At 33.8% G+C, this 19,727-nt stretch overlaps 1 annotated feature.

Moving 5' to 3' along the window:
• Positions 18,524-18,724: a silencer, noted in NCBI's record as "peak5393 fragment used in MPRA reporter construct". NCBI's record gives its function as "represses an SCP1 promoter by STARR-seq MPRAs in K562 erythroleukemia cells {active_cell/tissue: K562}" and the evidence as "EXISTENCE:reporter gene assay evidence [ECO:0000049][PMID:32103011]".

Genomic DNA, 19,727 nt, shown 5'->3' with positions numbered 1-19,727 from the left:
TCTGGCTTAGTCTACCAAGCCAGTATTGATATATTAAGATATCAAAATTGTGTCCCCAGGTTAATTTCTGAAAAGAATGAACTATTTTACAGTACCAGCTACAATGTATCCAATCATCAGCTTTATTGGCTAGTATAGTGGATATTTAACATTCTTGTTACATCAGCATTTTTATATATGTATATTTTAAATGAAATATACTTTTTCCTCTTGGGAAAGATATTCAACATGGTTTGAAATGTGGCTGACATAATCAGGATATTATAATCAGAATATTCTCTACCTTTGAGCCATAGAGATTAATGTAGGTGTGAGCAGTCGATCAATAAGACACCTTCAAATGCTATTACTGCCAGAGTTATCAGTGGAAACACCATTTTACTGAGTTTTATGAAAAGTGCACATGATCTTGGTAGCTATCCTGCTTACCATGTAAAGAATGGATATCTAATACCTTGGAGCGAAGTGTGGCTCTGAGTGTTTAATTCAAGATCCTGGTTCCAAGTATGTCTACAGAAATTTCTGGCTGGGCGCCATAGCTCACACCTATAACCCTGACATTTTGGAAGGCCAAGATGGGAGGATCACTTGAGGTCAGATGTTTCGAGACCAGCCTGACCAATATGGTGAAACCCATCTCTACAAAAAATACAAAAATATTAGCCAGGATTGGTGGCACATGCCTGTAATCCCAGCTACTCAGGAGGCTGAGGCGGAGGTTGCAATGAGCCGAGATCTTGCCTCTGCACTCCAGCCTGGGCGACAGAGTGAGACCCTGCTTCAAACAAAAAAGAAGAAATTTCTATCCCTACTTTGTTTTTTAGTAAAGTCATTAAATTTCTATTGTTCTTTACCTAGGTTGAGCTGCATTTCTATCTCTTGTATACATAATTACTGATTAATAGAAATAGTATTTTAAAATATAACTTTTGATAATCACATAAATGTTAAGATTTTTTAAAAAGGATAGTTATTTGAATAGTAGTGGCATTGATTTTTTTTATCTGTTTAGTTTGTTATTTCCTATTTTCCACATTATTAGTTGTGGTTCTATGAATGATGTCTTCCTATTATTTGTTCATTAATATTTGCTGAAGGAGATTACTGATTCTATGAAAGAGCAATTTCTCATATTTGTCCACTAGTATTTGCTTAAAATTTCTCCCATTTTTCTCATTTTAAATTTAGTGTTCAAAACTGTGAAGAGTTTAATTTTTATATTCTTAATAGTTGTGAACCCAGGCCACCTGGATGGAACGTCTTTTAGAATATAGCCTATCTGAAGTGACCCAACTATGATTTTTGATTTTGCCCTCTCAGTCCTTCTTTGCACCTTACTTTAGGTCTTCTTCATGTTGGGAATTCAGCTGTTCTTTCTCATTGTTTTCATTATTCTGACTTCCTTGGCAGACATTTTCGTTATAAATGCCAGAGTAGACCTGATTGGTTCAGCTTGTCATCATCTACTACAAAGCAACTCTACTGAACAAAACATCAGCATTCCATTACCCTATTGACTGGGTTGGGGTTCTTTTGTTTTTCTTCCGATAATTCTTAACACAGGTAAATGGAACATGTGATACAAAGTGTAATAAACTTGTGAAAGCAACCTTTCAGAAGGATTGAATACGGCAAGTAGTCTAAAATTTCTCGGGTAAAGTTACCTTAATTGTCAGACACCTTGTGAGAATTTTATAGATGAGCCTTTCTTAACTTTTTCTGGAATGAAGTGAGCCCTTTTAGGATTCATAGACAAGTCTTATTTCCTGCAGTTTTGAATTTATTATTCCTTTAATTCCAATCAATTTTTATCCTCCATAGCGAACTGATCAATTTATTACAACATTGTTAGTAATGCATGCAAATTCCATTTTTCCTACAAACATACCTGCAGTTGAAAGTATTACCTTTTACTAAACTTGCCATTTTTAATGCATTGATTTGGGATGCTAACATAATTATATAGCAAGTATTTATGTCTGCATATTTCAGTTTCTGGGCTTGCCGTTCTGTTCTATTTATTTTCCAATTACTAGTGTAGTTACTGCACAAATTGCATGTGGTTTTAATATTTTAACTGCACCATGGAGTTTAATATTTTTTAGACTTTCCTTTTCTGAGGCAGATACTCTTATAATCCCAAAACATATATATATATATTTTCTTTTTTTAAGAAAATAAGTGTGTTTACTAGAAATCATTTATTTTAATGGACATTCACATGTATTTGCTAAGCTCTCCAGAGCACTGTTGAGTAGTGTTGATGATAAACACTTTGTAAATAAACTTATTTTATATCTCTAAAGTTTCACCATTTTGGATGATGTGTACTCATGTACTATATTTTAACTGTATTTATTGCTGGAAAATTTTGTAGCTTAAAATTTTAAATATTTGTAAAAAATGTTATTCTGAATATTCAGCAAAATAAATAAGTGCTCTATCCAGGATTGTTAATTTAAGATGAATTCTAGAAATTTAATGGTGGTCAAAAGATTTTACAATATATTTGGGTTTTCCATTTAAATTACCAAATTGTCCTCTGTAGTTTTGTCATTATGAACCCAAAGTGCTATTTGAGTGGCCAATTTCTGAAGCAATTGAGCTGAAAACGTGTTAGTCATTTGTCTTCTGAGACAACTGAGTACTGGGAGTCAAAAAGATTTCAATAATTTGGAGCAAGTAAGCAACAACATAGACTTTGACATTAAATAGAGAAATTTAAGATAGTTCAATGGAGAAATGAGCTAATTCAACTAGCAGAAAGCAAAATAATTGTTCTATAGAGCTGAAAGTCGTGCATCCTGTAACTCTATCCCATAGTCTTGAGTGACTATCTAAAACCAAGCAAAATTCAGAGCATGGGGGATATTTAAGGGGCATTAGATTACACATTTAAACATCAATGAAAATTGTGAGAAATGTTTGTGGAGAACAATTTTCAGGAAGAAAAGATTGCTATGTAATCAAGCAGATAGGAGTTTAAGGCATAATTTTTTAGATACTACTATAAAAGTGATCTCTATTTTATTTACTCACTACCAGTCTCATAACATACATATATTTAGTATGCTTTCAAAGTTAATTGTTTTATATATAATACTTCTTTGATTAGCCTGCAGTAGTTAATCAATATTATATGTAATCTAATCAAGTTATTTATCAAAACATGGGTTTGGCAAATTGTGTTTTGTGAACCAATTCCTCCCCACAGCGTTTTTTTTTTTTTTTTTTGTACAGCCCACAAGCTAAAAATATTTTTACATTTTCATAGAGTTGAAAAAAAATCAAAAGAATCAGATTTTATGCCATGTAAAATTTTATGAAATTCAAATTTAGTGTCCATAAATAAAATTTTGTTGGAACACAGTCACACTCATTTGTTTTACATATTATTTATGGTTTTTCTGGTGCTATAACAGCACAACTGAGTAGTTGGGAGAGGTATCATGTAACTTACAAAGCTCAAAATATTTACAGCTTGACTTTATACAGAAAAATTTTGCAGACCCCTGATTTAAACTTAAGACAGAATGTATACTTCTTCCTTTTTTTTTTTTTTTTTTTTTTTTTGAAATGGAGTCTCACTCTGTTGCCCAGGCTGGAGTGCAGTGGTGCAATCTCGGCTCACTGCAACCTCCGCCTCCTGGGTTCAAGCAATTCTCCTGCCTCAGCTTCCTGAGTAGCTGGGATTACAGGTGTGTGCCACTATGCCCAGCTAATTTTTGTATTTTTAGTAGAAATGAGGGTTTCACTGTGTTGGTCAGGCTGGTCTTGAACTCCTGATCTTATGATCCACCCGCCTCAGCCTCCCAAACTGCTGGGATTGCAGGTGTGAGTCCCTACACCTGGCCTGTATACTTCTTTTTATAGTTGGTAAAGTACTTTACTTTTTGACATCTCTCTTGCATTTATTCCAAACCTTGACATGCTGTTTATTATTTACGTATCATTGGTTTTCCTCATTGTACTTTCTCCTCTGTCCATCAATTCATCAATATTCCACATATTTGCAGTGAACCATAAAATGTAAATTCCCTTCCTGAACGTTTGAATTTATTCTTGATATGATTTAAGCACTTTTATAGCACCATTTCATGTATATTATTAATTATGCTTAAGATGAATAACTTTTGTAAGGAATTTATATTGTAATATTTTCAATTAAGAACACTTTTAATGCATTTATTTGTATATATGCACCATTTCTATATTTATTTGTTATATTCATTAATCTTTATTTTTCTCCACTCTCTATCATTCCTTTCATTGCTATCAGCAGAAAGTATGTTAGAATTTTTTTGTTTTCTTGTTTGCCTAAGGATGAGCTTCTTTTATAACCCACATACAGTAAATATCAATTTGGCCTAGAAAATATTTTCTGATCACACCTTTTGTTTTTTTAAGGATATATACTGTTCTGTCTTAGGTTGATATAGTTAATAAATCTGATACAAATAGATTTTGAATCCAATGAACTCTTTCAAAGTTTGGATGATTCTTTCCTTTTTCTTTGTAAACCTAAAAGGATATACTTAGGTAATAGTTTATCTTTGTTGCTTTTATGTGGAATAAGTACAAGTCCTATGATTTCTTGTTATTTTGCTTAAATTTTTATGGAGCAATTTTAGTAATTCATATATATTTCTCTCCTGTTGGTTGTGTCTTCTAACTCCATGACTAAATGACTTGGATACTAAACCACTATGCTCTGTACACCACGCCTGCCATGTTTCCTCTCAAACTATTCACCATCCTATTAATTTCTTTTGAATTCTACATGTTGCCCATTTTGTATATTGTTTTTGATTCAGTAGATGTGTTCCATTATCATGACTATTTCTCTATTGATTCTGCCAGCTAGCACTTCCAGTGTTCATTTGAATTATACCACAATATAATTAAACCTATTTTATTCTTGTTTTATAGCTTCAACACATTTCTTTTCCATCCCCTTGAGAAGAGAAAAAGCCATTTTGTATATTGTATATGTATTTTCTTTGAAAGATTTATAGTTTATAGAACTTTGAGTAACAGCATACAGAGCTACTTTATTTTCCAGTATCTACAGGTATGTCAATTCAATGTTTAGACTTGTTTAGTAGACCTTCCCTGCTACCTACAGTCCTGAGAACTCATGATTATGGCTTCATGTGCTACATTTGCCTCATTTGCTTTCAATCTACCACAAACTTGCTCCACGAATTCTCTCTGTGTTTTATTTCACATTCATTTTCTCCATAAATGCCTTGAATTTCTGCATTTATGGGTAATTTTCCTCTAGTTATCTTTATTCTTTGGGATTATCAATTTTCAGTTATTTTATATGATTTTTCTAGAATATTATTATGGAAAATTAACAAGTCCATGTAGATCATCTCTCATTCATAATTAGAATTTTAAATAATACTATTTTATTATAATTGTTTAATCTTAGCTTCATAATATATACACATCTATTTTCTTAGGTATTTATCTCAAAATTGATTTCCTAGGGATTAGAGATATTGTCATTTATATCAAAATACTTGTAACTTTCAAAAAAAGTAATTATTTGAGTTTGATGCTTAGAAATGGATTGTGATGGGGAAAGTCAACCCGTTGCGGTGCTGACGTCCCTCCTTGAAGTCAGTGAATGCCTGGGGCTAATATCTGGCAATCTAGAATGTCTTTCCACCAACCTTGTGCTGCTCTTCTGAAGCATCGTCCCTGTACCTTGTTCTGAATTAATCAGTCATCTATTACAGTGACAATATTAGGGAAGAGATTTATATCATCTGACATTTTCTTTTAGGATGATTTTTGTTAAATAATAAACTATGGGCTGAGCACAGTGGTTCACATCTGTGATCTCAGCACTTTGGGAGGTCAAGGCAAGAGGAGCACTTGAGGCCAGGAGTTTACGACCAGCCTGGGCAACATAAGACTCCATCTTTCTCTAAAAAAAAAAAAAAATCCCTGCACATAGTGGCACATGCCTGTAGTCTTAGCTACTCAGGAGGTTGAGAAAGAGCATCACTTGAACCCAGGAGATCAAGGCTAGAGTGAGCTATGCTTGTGCCACTGTACCTCAGCCTGCTTGACAGAGAGACCCTGATTCTAATAATAATAATAATAATAATAAACTGTGGTCAGCTAATAGTATTTTTTCTTTCCTGCCTTCATGGTTGTTTTCATGAGAAAATTGAACCAGGGCCAGGGGTGGTGGCTCATGCCTGTAATCCCAGAACTTTGGGAGGCCAAGGTGGGTGGATTACCTGAGGTCAGGAGTCCAAGACCAGCCTGGCCAACATGACAAAACCCTGTCCCTACTAAAAAATATGAAAAATTAGCTGGGCCTGGTGGCAGGCTCCTGTAATCCCAGCTACAGGAGAGGCTGAGGCAGGAGAATCGCTTGAATCTGGGAGGCGGAGGTTGCAGTGAGCTGAGATCATGCTACTGCACTCCAGCCTGAGCAACAGAACAAGACTCTGTCTCAAAAAAAAAAAAAAAAAAAGAAAAAAGAAAAAAGAAAATTGAACCAGGAATTGCTAACATTTTCACTTTTCTCTATTGTTCCAGAAGCCTTTGTGAAGTGATTTTTTTTTTCTATTTCATTATTTTAGGATGATAGTACACTTAAAAAAAAAACAACTTGTATTTTAAGTTCAGGGGTATATATGCAGTTTTGTTACATAGGTAAACTTGTGTCATGTGGGGTTGTTGTATAGATTATTTCCTCACCCAGGTATTAAGTCTAGTACCCATTAGTTGTTTTTTCTGATTGTCTCTCTACTTCCACCTCCAATAGTCCCTAGTGTGTATTGTTCCCCTCTATGTGCCCACGTGTTCTCATCATTTAGCTCCCACTTATAAGTGAGAATATGTAGTATTTGGTTTTCTATTCCCGCGTTGGTGTGGTAAGGACAATGGCCTCCAAAAGAATTATCAACAGAGCAAACAGACAACCTACAGAACTGGAGAAAGTTTTTGCAAACTATGCCTCTGACAAAGATCTAATATCCAACATCTATAGGGAACTTAAATTTACAAAAAATAGTACATTTTTATTGGATGGAGAGAACATTTTAACATCAGGGACTGTGCTAAATTCTTTATGTATATTTTCTCATATAATTTTTATAAAAACCTACATTATTAATATATTCATTTTAAAGAGAGAAAAATGAGGCTCTTAGAAGTTATATAAGTTTATAAAGTGGACAGAATTGGTAAAGGACACAACCACAAATCAAATCAAATGATTTCTGGCTATGAATGTAGACAGGTGTGGTGTTATATAGTCTTTTCCACTGTGGTTGTAGTGAAGTAGGAACCAGGTATCTTGGTTTAACTTTTTTTCTTCAACATTTTTAAAGGTTAGAAATTGTTGTGAACACACTCAATGTCCAACGAGTTTACTTAACTGAGGTATATTTTTAAAAAAAATACTTTCAAAAATTGATGTAGTCTGAATTATTTTATTGTAAGAATCAAAACCAAGATGCTTCTTCTCACTATAATCAATACATATAAAATTCTTGAATATCTTTTAAAGTCTTTTTTTAGTACAAGACAAAAAGTAAATACATAAAATATTTTGCTGAAATTCCTTTGTGTCCTCTCATGTTGGTAGGTTGCTGACATATGAAATAGTATTATGTTTACATTGCATAATATATTTGCAAAGAGATTTCGGTGAATACTTTTCATCTCATATTTCCATCTAACAATGACTTATACACAAAGGTTTTAGATTGCAGGAGTATGGCTAAATATCCCTTTTATGTTGAATTTTGTTTTCTGAGAATTTATTCATATTTATTAAACATATAAAATGTGTATAAGAAAATGGATAGTACAAAATAAAGTATTGCTAATCACTCCATGTAGACAGTATCAGAGATATTTAAAGTAAAAAATAAAATAAAAACACACACTATAACAGAACACAAATGTAAGTTAGAACCACCCATAGTTATATGTTTCTATCATCCAGTCTGTAAATAAAAGTTTTTGGTGGGGACGGTTTCCCACTTTTCTCCTCATTCTTGTAGATTTCCTACGAAGATAAATTTAACTTTACTGTTAAGGGGACTAGTAACCTTGGATTAGCTCTGTGAGTTTGCAAAGTCCAGTGAGAAATGGGCTATATTTATATTTATATTTAGCTATATCTGGATCCAGTGTATACAAAAATACCACTGAGCTACTGCCCTAACAGGGTACCACCAACTGGGAGGTTTAAAACAACAGAAATGTATTACCTTACAATTCTTAAGGCTAGAAGTTCAAAATCAAGGTGTAGTCAGGGCCACGCTCCTTCTTTGTTACCTATAAGGGAGAATTCATCCTTGGTGCTTCTGTTTTCTGAGGTGATTGTTATCCTTGCTGTTTCTTGGCTTACAGCAGCATCACTCCAGTGTCTGCCTCCACTGCATGTGTCTTCACATACCTGCCTTCTCCCTGTAAGTCTCTCTTCTTATAAAGACATCAGTCATATTGGATTAAGGGCTCCTCCTGCTGCAGTGTGACCTTGTCTTAACTAACTATATCTGCAAAGCCATTATTTCCAAATAAGTTACTTTCTGAAGATCTAGGCATTAGGAAGTTAACATATCTTTTTTGGGGACACAGTTTAACCCATCACATAATATCATATAGCATGCATAGAGCTTGGAAAGACTCCATATACAGTTGGCCCTGATGGGTTGAGCTCTCTGATAATCTGAAAGGAAATATGCAGTATTGACAATCCAGATAAGGATGATAACAATTAGGCTAACACATGAAATCTAGTGTCAGACACTATAGAAATCACCTGTGATTACATAAAACTAATAAACTTCTAAGACCATTTTGGGCATTTCTATTTGTAATGAACACAAAAATTATGATAATTTTATATTTCTTTTTTTTTTTCCTTTGAGATGGAGTTTTGCTCTTGTTGCCCAGGCTGGAGTGCAATGGCGCCATCTCGGCTCACTGCAACCTCTGCCTCCCGGGTTCAAACAATTCTCCTGCCTCAGCCTCCCGAATAGCTGGGATTACAGGCATGTGCCACCATGCCTGGCTAATTTTATATTTTTAGTAGAGACGGGGTTTCTCCATGTTGGTCAATCTGGTCTTGAACTCCCAACCTCAGGTGATCCTTCGGCCTCCCAAATTGCTGGGATTACAGGTGTGAGCCACCACTCCTGGCCTATTTTCTTTCTTATATTTATTTTATGGCTTTTTTTGTTATTTGAAAGAAAACTTGGTAGTCTGAGGCAGGTGGATTGCTTAAGCTCAGAGTTCAAGATCAGTCTGGGTATCATGATGAAACCCCATCTTTACAAAAAATACACACACACACACACACACACACACACACACAAAAAAAAAAAAAAAACTACCTGGGCATGGTGGTGCACGCTTGTAGTCCCAGCTACTCAGGAGGCTAAGTGGGAGGATTGCTTGAGCTCAGGAGGTTGAGGCTGCAATGAGCTGTGATTGCTTCACTGAAGTCCAGCCAGCTTGGGTGACAGAGTGAGACCTTGTCTGAAAAAAAAAAAAAAAGAAAACATATTATTTCCGATAATATTCTAATAGAACTTTTAGTTTCTTAAAATGGCACATTAAACCATCTGACCTGTTGTTCAACTCTGCCTTATATTCACTGATATTATTAAATAAAGACAATTTCTTTTTAACATAAAATATATAACAGATTTTTGACATCTTATGGAGAGACAATGAGACTTTATTTTATTGTCAGTATAGTAGCTTTCTTTTATCAAGATGAACTGAAAGAAACAAATAAAACATATTGGAGTAGGAAAATAAAATTGATTAAGCCATAAAGGACCAGTATGCATGACTGATAGTATGATATTTCCCCAAATGAATTTGCTTAAGCTTAATGGTCTAAAAATCAGCTCTAAAAATTGTTATAAATATATTAACATTTTAATATTTTAATATAAATTCCAAATATAAGTCACATGTTTTAACTCACTTTATCTAGATGCATAATTTTATAGTTATTCTGTTAAGTCACCCTTTCGAACATTATGGTTAAATCCTTTAAAACAAGTCTTTAGAGTTTCAAGATCTTAGTATAAAATATTTGAATTCAATAATTATATTAGAACATTCATTATGATGATATTTTTCTCACACCAAATTAACATTTACTTTGACATTGAAGTGTTATCATCATCATGGAATAAAATAATCTCTGAATTTCAAAAATTGATAAATATCATTTGTCCAGTTTTCTAGCTGATGCATAAATTTACTTTTCAAATTAATATGTATTGAAAATAAACAATATTACAAATGCTATTCTGAACAAATGAAGTATCCGAATCTGTAATGTAATCGTTGAACAAATATTGATGATTTTTTCATGATGCTTTTTACTTACTCTTTTTCCCTTGAACTTCAAAATCATACTTCTCATAATAGTTTTTCTTTTACTATTGTCCACTATATTCAAATCATGAAAAAAACAAAGAGAAAGAAGCACATGTTGAACAATTAGCCAAAGCAGACATAGATAGGATGTTAGTTCTGCGACTGACAAAGAAACCAGATTGGGGTTACCAAAACAAAGCAAAGCAATGCAAAACTAAACAAAACAAAAAAGGCAAACTTTTAATAGACTATCTCACAGATTGTAGCTATTTCACCAACACCGAATAACAGCAACAACAAACCAGTGAGGATGTGGAATCTATCACAATTTAAAACATTTGTAAGATAAAATAATAAATGGGCTCACATATTGGACTATAGGTATTTATATTGTCAGTTAAAAGCAGCCAACCATGGTGAGAATTGATCACCCTGCCTTTTGCCTACTGATGGGCTTTTGGACTGGTCAGCATATTGAACACCAAATTCACTTTCAAGAATTGAAATTTATATGTGGTGCATTCTCATCCAAATTCTGCATTGAGGTCAAAATAAGGGCATTGCAATAAATAAAGTAAGAGAAAATACATTGCAAGGAAACCATATCTAACTCAGAAAACACAGCAAGAAAAACAATATTTCTTTTTGACATCTTCATAGAAGTAGAATTCTAACAGAAGTTGTGTTTTAAGCCTTTTCTAGTTAAAGTTGGCAAATGAGAAAACAACTTTAATGAATTATCTAACTGTCCTTTCACAAACCAATCAATGACAACTCCTTCCCTTTAGAGATAATTAAAGTTGATCTAATTAGATTGCCTTCACTTACAAACTTGTCATGTAAATAAAGTTAATTTATTATCCCACCTGGTTCACCTATGGGAATTACCATAGTATAATAATGGAAGTATTGTTGAAAATCTTAAAACAAATTATGTATAGATGCCTGATCTTGTTGCTTGAGATTCCTTCTTTATTGTGAGCTTCAAAATCATAAATACAGTTCATTTTCTGTCACATTATGTAAACATGGGTGATCACATATAATTATGTATCCTCAGTACAACCAACTTTTAATTAGAATACAGAAAATATTTTTCACACAAGAAAACTGTATGTTTGAATGTATTACAGTATGTATTACTTAACATCCTATGCAATATTCTATACCTATGTAGTGAAATGTTAGAAATTGCTATCAATACAATCTTATTGTAATATTCAAAATAAAAGACAAACATACTTAAAAGGAAAATATTTTATATGTGTTACTTGATGCTTTTAATCATTCATGAAACAATTCTTGAGATTTTGTTTTGGATTGCAATATGCTTTATTAATGGTTTATGCTAATGGACTATAATTATAATGCTACAATATTTAGGATATTTAATTCAAAGCTCAGTTGGCATATGGGCAGGTTTTCTCCATTGGAGTAGGGAAATTCCTTGATATTGTAACACGGAACAGAACAGAACAGAAGAGAGACTCCCAATGATATAGTTCAGATGTTTGTCTCCTCCAAATCTCATATTGAAATGTCATCCCCACTGTTGGAGGTTGGATTGAGTGGGAGATGTTTGAGTTATGGGCACTTATCCCTTATGAATGACTCGATGCCCTCCCTACAGTAGTGGGTGAGATCCTGCTCTGTTAGGTCATGTGAGATTTGGTTGTGAAAAACAGCTAAGACCTCCCTCCTTCCTTCTCCCTCTCTCACCATGTGACATACCAGCTCCCTTTCCCATTCTGCTATGACTGAAAGCCTCCTGAGGTCCTCACAAGAAGCAGATGTTGGTACCATGCTTTTTTTTTTTATAGCCAGCAGAACCACAAGCCAAATACATCTCTTTTCTTTATAAGCCACCCAGCCTCAGGTATTTATAGCAATACAAAGTAGACTAATATAGCCACATATCAGTCATTATTGTACTGTCATCATGTTTTGTATCATGCACGAGAATCACCTGAAATATTTTTTATTTTCTTCTAATTGACACATATATATACATAACATGTCTTAAATTTTTTTAATCTACCTACATGTTTACCATTTTCTTTGTTCTATATTTCTATCTAAGAACTGCCTTCTGAAATAATTTTTCTTCTTCCTAAAATACAGAGTTTAGAAGCACTACTGGGGGACTTGTGATACAAATGTCCCTTAAGTTTCTTATTTTTGTTTCTCCCTCACTTGGCAACTCTAGTCAACTATAGTTGATGATTAGTTATTCCTGGTCTGTTGAAAAGTTTGGCGTGTACTGTCTTTTTGTTAGTTTTGAGAAATCTTTTGTTCATCCTACATTTAATTCTTAAAAAAAAAAATCTGTCAGCTATTTTTTCCCTTTTTTTTTAACTTTAATATTTTTATTGTGGTAAAATACATGACATAAAATATATGATTTTAATCATTTAAAAGAATACAGTTCAGTGGCATTTAGTACTTTTACGTTATTGTGCAAATATCACCAGTGTTTAATACCAGTACATTTTCATCACCCCAAAAGGAAACCTGTACCCATTCAACAGTCACTCCTCATTCCATCTTTCCACCTACACTCTCACAGTCCCTAGTAACTACAAATCTGCTTTCTGTCTCTAGGGATTTGCCTATTCTGGATATTTTTAAAAAATGGAATCTTATAATACGTAGCCTTTGGTGTCTGCCTTCTTTCACTTAGCATAATGTTTTTCAGATTTATCTACACTGTAGCATGTATCAGAACTTCATCCCACTTTTGGCTGAATAACATTCCATTGTATGGATATGCCATACTTTTTTTTAATTTAAATTTCCTTTTGTTTCTTCTATATATTTTAAGAGGGGAGTGACAAATGGTGAACTGGACACAGAGCATGGATTATTTACAAACAGAAATTTTAATAGGAAAATTAAAGGATGATCTAAAAAACACTGAGAGAAATAAATTTCAAGAGTTAAATCATTATTTAGTTGTCTACTGCAAAGACCCTATTTCCAAACAAGTTCACATTCCAAGGTTCTGGGAAGGACATGCATTTTCAGGAGACACCATTAAACCCAGAATGATATTGTATATTTTCTACTGATCTATTGAGAATTTCACTGGTTCACTGAATCTTTCCGAAGTCATCTCTACTCAGACACCGCGCCCCTCCTTCACCTGAACTTTTTATTTCAGGTGTAGTAATTTTCAGTTTAAAAACTTCAGTAGTTTCTTTTCTTTGAGTACAAAGTTTGTTTTGGGGGTGATGAAAACATACTGGTATTAGACACTGGTGATATTTGCACAACACCATAAAAGTACTAAATGCCACTGAACTGTATACTTTTAAATGACTAATATATTTTATGTCATGTGTATTTGTAATTTTTTCTGCTGGGAACTTTTCACTCTCTATTCATTTTAATAGTGTTCAGTGTTATGTTACTGAGGATATTTATAACAACTGAATTAAAGGTTTTTCTGGTAATTGCAACATCTGGATCATATCAAATGATCCAGTGTAACTGCTCCAGCATAAATGTTAAAGGAATGTCTTCAGGTTACAGAAAAATTAAATAATCTAGATATTAGTATCTTTTGATTGCCCTTTTTCTTGAGTGTTGTTCAGAATTACAAATTCTTTTTATGTCAGAAATTTTGAATTCTATTCTGGAAAGTTCGAATATTGTTCCTTTATATTCAGTCCTTTTATAATCCTACAGAAAATTATATTCTGGTTTTGCTTTGTTTTAGTAAATAATATGAACTGAATTGTATTCTCTAAAATTTATATGTTGAGGCTCTAATCCCAAACAGGACTATGTTTCGAGATAGAGCCTTTCAGGAGGTGATTAAATTGGTCATAAGGGCAGGGTTTCAATCTGATAGGACTGGTGTCCTTATAACAAGAGGGAGAGAAAGCACAGCTCACTCTCTGTCTCCACATTGGCATGGAGGAAGGGACACATGAGGACACAGTGAGAGGGTGGCCATCTGCAAGCCAGGAAGAGAGGCCTCAACAAAAATCAATACTCCTGATACCTTGATCTTGACTTGACTCCAGAGCTCTGAGAAAATTATGTTCTCTTACTTTAAGTCACCTAGTATGTGGTAAGTCATTATGGCAGCCCAAGCAGAATAATAAGTAATCAACCAGTTTAGGGTGAGACTGAAAGTCTCATCTGGCCTTCTATGGGTGATGATTCCAGTATTATTTATTAGTTCCTTTTTCAATACTTTTTCTACATTGCTTTGATTCACCAGCATAAAGCAGTCAAATGTTAGTCTAGGACTTGGTCAATGGCATGTAGGGTATTACAGTTCCTACTGGCTTTATTATGCTTTTTTAAATGCCTGTTATATATGTGCACAACTTGGTAATAAGCCTAGAATTTATGCCAATTGATATGCAAAATTAGGGGATGGCTTTCTCTTAGGAATTTATCCCACACTTTCTGTAACCATTTCTCTAGTTCTTCTGTCCAGAAAGATGTGTCTTTCTTTGAATGTTAGCCCTTCTTCTATGGTGTCTTTCTATGTTTCCATGTCTATGTTACAAAGATCACCATATTTCTTGGACATTGTCCCTTCCTTCCATCTTCAAACTCAGCCAAAGAGTGTGGAGTACATTTTGACCCATTCTCCTCATTCCCTCTTCTACCTCTAAAATTCATGTGGTTACATTGGATCCATCCTGATAATCTAGGATAATCTTCCTATTTTAAAGTCAGCTAATTAGAAATCTTAATACCATATGTGAGTTTAATTCCCTTTGTCATATAAGGGAATATATTCACAGATTCCCAGGATTAGGGCACAGACATCTTTGGGAAATTAATATCTTTAGGAAAATAAAAAATCTAAAAATTTATATTTTAGTTCCATAAGAATTGACTTTTATTGAGGCAAAATATAGGTAATTCTGTGAGCATTCTATACTTTCCTAATATTTTGGCACACCTATGTCCTGGGTGGTACATGAAACAGAAGGGAAAATAAATGTTAGGCTAGTAATTTGTAGAAGGCTTCCCAGAAGAAAAGGCTGAGTGTAGGAATAAAGATAGAGTGAAAAATACATTCGAGGGAATTGAAAATAAAATATAACACACATTCGTGAAATTCAAGTGGTATACGATGGTTAAAGAGATGCATGTCTGTGAGTCCTAACAAGATGACACTAGCATCTTGTAGGTTATATAGAGTTTGGAGGAACATATGTGCCTAGTGAAGGAAGTTTATCATATGTTTAAAAACCATGGAAGGTAAAATTTCATATTTTTTACCAGATTAGTGACTGAATTAGATAGGTTTTTTTAAGATCTTCCATATTCCACAGTATTATTAGTAGTACTAGTGTAATAATTACAGGAAGAAACATGAAAATCACATTGTTGGCTGGGCACGGTGGCTCACGCCTGTAATCCCAGCACTTTGGCAGGCCCAGGTGGGTGGATCACGAGGTCAGGAGATCGAGACCATCCTGGTTAACATGGTGAAACCCTGTCTCTACTAAAAAAATACGAAAGAATTAGCCGGGCATTGTGGTGGGCGCCTGTAGTCCCAGCTACTCGGGAGGCTGAGGCAGGAGAATGGCATGAACCCAGGAGGCGGAGCTTGCAGTGAGCCGAGATGGAGCCACTGCACCCTAGCCTGGGCAACAGAGCGAGACTCTGTCTCAAAAAAAAAAAAACAAAAAAAGAAAAAAGAAAATCACATTGTTAAATCTATGTAAGAAATTATATGAGTTCAAACAAAGTAGTAAAAATAGAGAGGGGAAAACATGCTTTTGGGAATTGGCGGTTTATTAGATGTGCATGGGGATGAGAAAGAGGAAGGAGCCTAGGAGGTATCCTAAATTTCTTTTTTTGAAAAATTCATGCACCTTGATGAAACTCACTCAGGTTAGAGATATAGAAAGAGGAGCAGAATGGCAAAAGCATATAATAACCATGTTTTCAAATTTGCTGATTTTGAGAAGGCATGAAATATTCTACGACCTATTTAAAGCAAATAGATGTATACCATATTTAAAGCCCATTAGAGAGGCCTGTAGGTGATATAATTTGCTGATTTTTATTGTTTTCTGTAACCCTGGCCAGCGTGGTAAAACCCTATCTCTATTAAAAATACAAAAAAATCAGCCAGGCATGGTGGTGCACGCCTGTAGTCCCAGGTACCTGGGAGGCTAAGGCAGGAGAATGGCTTGAACCCAGGAGGTGGAAGTTGCGGTGAGCCAAGATCATGCCATTGCCCTCTAGCCTGGGTGACAGGGCAAGACTCCATCTCAAAAAAAAAAAAAAAAAGAAAAAAATGTAAACTTCATGAGAGGCAAATCATGTGTATACTTTGTTTGCTACTGTATTTCTAGCATCTAGGAAATATCTTCCTCAATTAGGAACTCAGTAAATACTGTCAAGTGAATGAATCAGCTTAAATTTGACATTTAGCTATAAACGTTGATGAAGTCTCCCAAAAGATCACATAGAATGGGAATAAAAGAGAACAAAGCACAGAGCCATAAAGAAAAATGCTATTTACGTCATCTCAATTCTATTACATTCAATTGAAATTTGAGAAAGAATAGCTGCCGATATATATGGAAACTATTAAATAAAGTAATCCAGAGGTGAAGAATAAGGGAATTTTTTAAAGGATGACAGAATAATATCAGTGACCACAGAGAGAGCATATAAGTAAACAAAGAAAAAAAGCATCTTCTGACCCTGGTATCAATACCAAGATCAGAGGTTTTCATATTGAGAATAATTATTAGAATGTTGAGACAGAAGTTAGATCAAAGCGTGTTGAGGAGTAAAGGAGGAAAGAGCAAATAAAAAATGTTAAGGTTACTGGGCATGAAATGAAGGCAAAATACAAGTGATAGCAAAACAAAGTATGCAATTAGCTATTGTATAGTACATAAAATGAGCCAATAAAATGGGAAAATGAGAGGATACAAGAAAAATTAGTCACTAATGAAGGGAAAGTTTATAAAATTTAGTTCAAATGCTATTTCTATGTTGATTTATTTATGCATTTCCGGATGCATGCACTTTATTGAATGGGCAGTTATACATGGGAGGATCAGACATATTTTTAATTAAGGTTTTTGGTCAGTATCCTGCAGTGAATGCTAATGAAGCATATTGCATACATTGAGACTGATTTTCATTTGTGCATCAACCCTGTTAATAATAGTATCTAATTAGGACATTCATTAAAAGTCTATAATGTTAACTTAATGGAAAAAATCCAATAGAAGTCCATTAGGTTCTCCTTGTTACCTTAAAATTATCCAAGTTTAACAAATGCCTTAATTAGTAAAGAAAAGGAATATTATACAATTTAATTTAGAATGACTTAATGCAGAAAATAGCATGTTCTAGTGCTAAATGCTTTATTTTAGTGATATATAATATAGAGATATTTATAAATATCTAATAACTGAGTTCTTAATTAGTAAAACTAGTTTCCATAGAGAATGAGGAAACGTAATGTATAAGATAAAATTCTAGAGAGAATTTAATAAAGTTTTGTAATAGTTATTGTGTAGGTAAAATTCTCATTATTTTGTTTCCTTCTTAACTAAAAGTTCAAGTTGATAACATAAGTTTGCTTAGTGTTCAAAGACCGTTTACATCCTGTTGTATTAGAATAAAGAAGAAATAACAAAGTAAAAGTCTCCCTGATATAAATGACTTTTGTTTTTCGTTCAGTGGGTATAATCTTGTTGCTTTCAGTCCCTAATTGCAGCTGTAGTTGCATTTTTTCCCCTTAATTTTAATCCTATGTTTCTGTCTTTTACATTTTCTCCTTTTCTTCTTAAGAGATACTTTGATTAAAAACATTTTATTATTAATAACATAAATAAAATTATTTACCCACAAATTGCCCACAATAAACGACCTAACATAGTTCTACAACTAAAAGTCAAAGAATTTGGAAAAAGCGTGCTTCACAGGAACTGATCTGATTTTTGAGTGTTTATTGGTGGTCATAATTCTCTTTCTTCATAAGTTCTAAGTGCAGAAAATAATAATTATCAAAATTATGAGGCTTAGTAACTTGCCTTTTCCTTTTGGATTCAGGTGATATAAAAAGTCTTAGAGTAAATGTTTCCTAAAATATCTATTAGTAACTCAAGTAACACCTATAGTCTGATGCCATTCTGAGTACTAAAGTGTTACTAATCATACCCTTTATAGTTGGTCAGTCTGGGAGGCTTGACTGGCTTACTCTAAAGTGGAGATAGCACTTTCTTTTTAAGTTTGTGGTAGAAATTTACCTCAGATAAGGCTCCCTAGAAGTAGAGCCTAGAAAGGAGATTCTTGTCAACAATGAACTGGTCAAGTGATGAACTAGAGGAGTGTTCTCAGCAGTAGGGGACTGAGGGAGGCAAAGTACAGGAAGGAAAAAAGCATGGTAAGCAGGTTATTTAAGTTAGAGACTAGCTTCAGTTTATTCACTCAGGGAAGCTCAGTTTGGAAGCATAAGTCACACCATAGAGTTTGGACTGTCATGAGGCAAGGGGGTGGATCTTTTCTACCCTTTGTATAGATGGATTATTGGCTCAGGGTTGCCTCAGAGCAAGAGGAGGAAGCTATGAAGCTTCTTTCAAATGAGAGATGTAGCTTTCATTTGCCCAAGGGCAGTTGACTTGAAAAGTGGGTAGCTTTGGGTAATCAAGGAACACAGAAATTGGTAAAGCATATCTGGTTACTCAATTCCTTGAATAGGAACTCTCCCTTACTCAAATGTTCTTTGAATTATTGGGTTTACGCAGATTTTCTCAAATCTGTATTCAAATAGTATTCAAAGAAATTTACAGGTATACTACTTTTTCTTTTAATGAAATTAAAAATATGATATAGTCTCAGCTTGGCTATTTTATGATTTTTATACCCCAAAATACCTAATTCAGAGTTTATTAATCAAATGTAAACTGAGACTGAACCAGAATTCTAGATAAAATATTAGAATATTTTTTCAGTGGTGCAATCACAGTTCATTTCGGCCTCAAACTCTTAACCTTCAGTGAACCTTCTGCCTTGGACTCCCAAGTAATTGGGAATACAGGCACATTTCACCACTCCCAGCTAACGTTTTTATATTTTTAGAGATAGGGTCTTGCTGTGTTGTCAAGGCTGATTAGAATGTTTTCACAGTCTAGAAAACACTAAGTTACTAAACATATTGCTATAGCTGCTTCATTATGTCAAATTTTTGCTAAACACAAAACAAACAAAAAAGTCACAGAACTAAAATAAACATGCAAAAATAAATGTAACACATTATTTTCTCCAAGTTAATGAAATATTTTAAATAAAATAGCTGATAATACTCAAGGATTTTTCTTTACATAAAAATGTGATGTTCTTTGTTCACC

Source organism: Homo sapiens, chromosome 5 (assembly GCF_000001405.40).
Source record: "Homo sapiens chromosome 5, GRCh38.p14 Primary Assembly".
Taxonomy (NCBI): Eukaryota; Metazoa; Chordata; class Mammalia; order Primates; family Hominidae; genus Homo; species Homo sapiens.
Note: the sequence above shows the minus strand (reverse complement) of the source record. Positions and strands in the feature narration are given on the sequence as shown.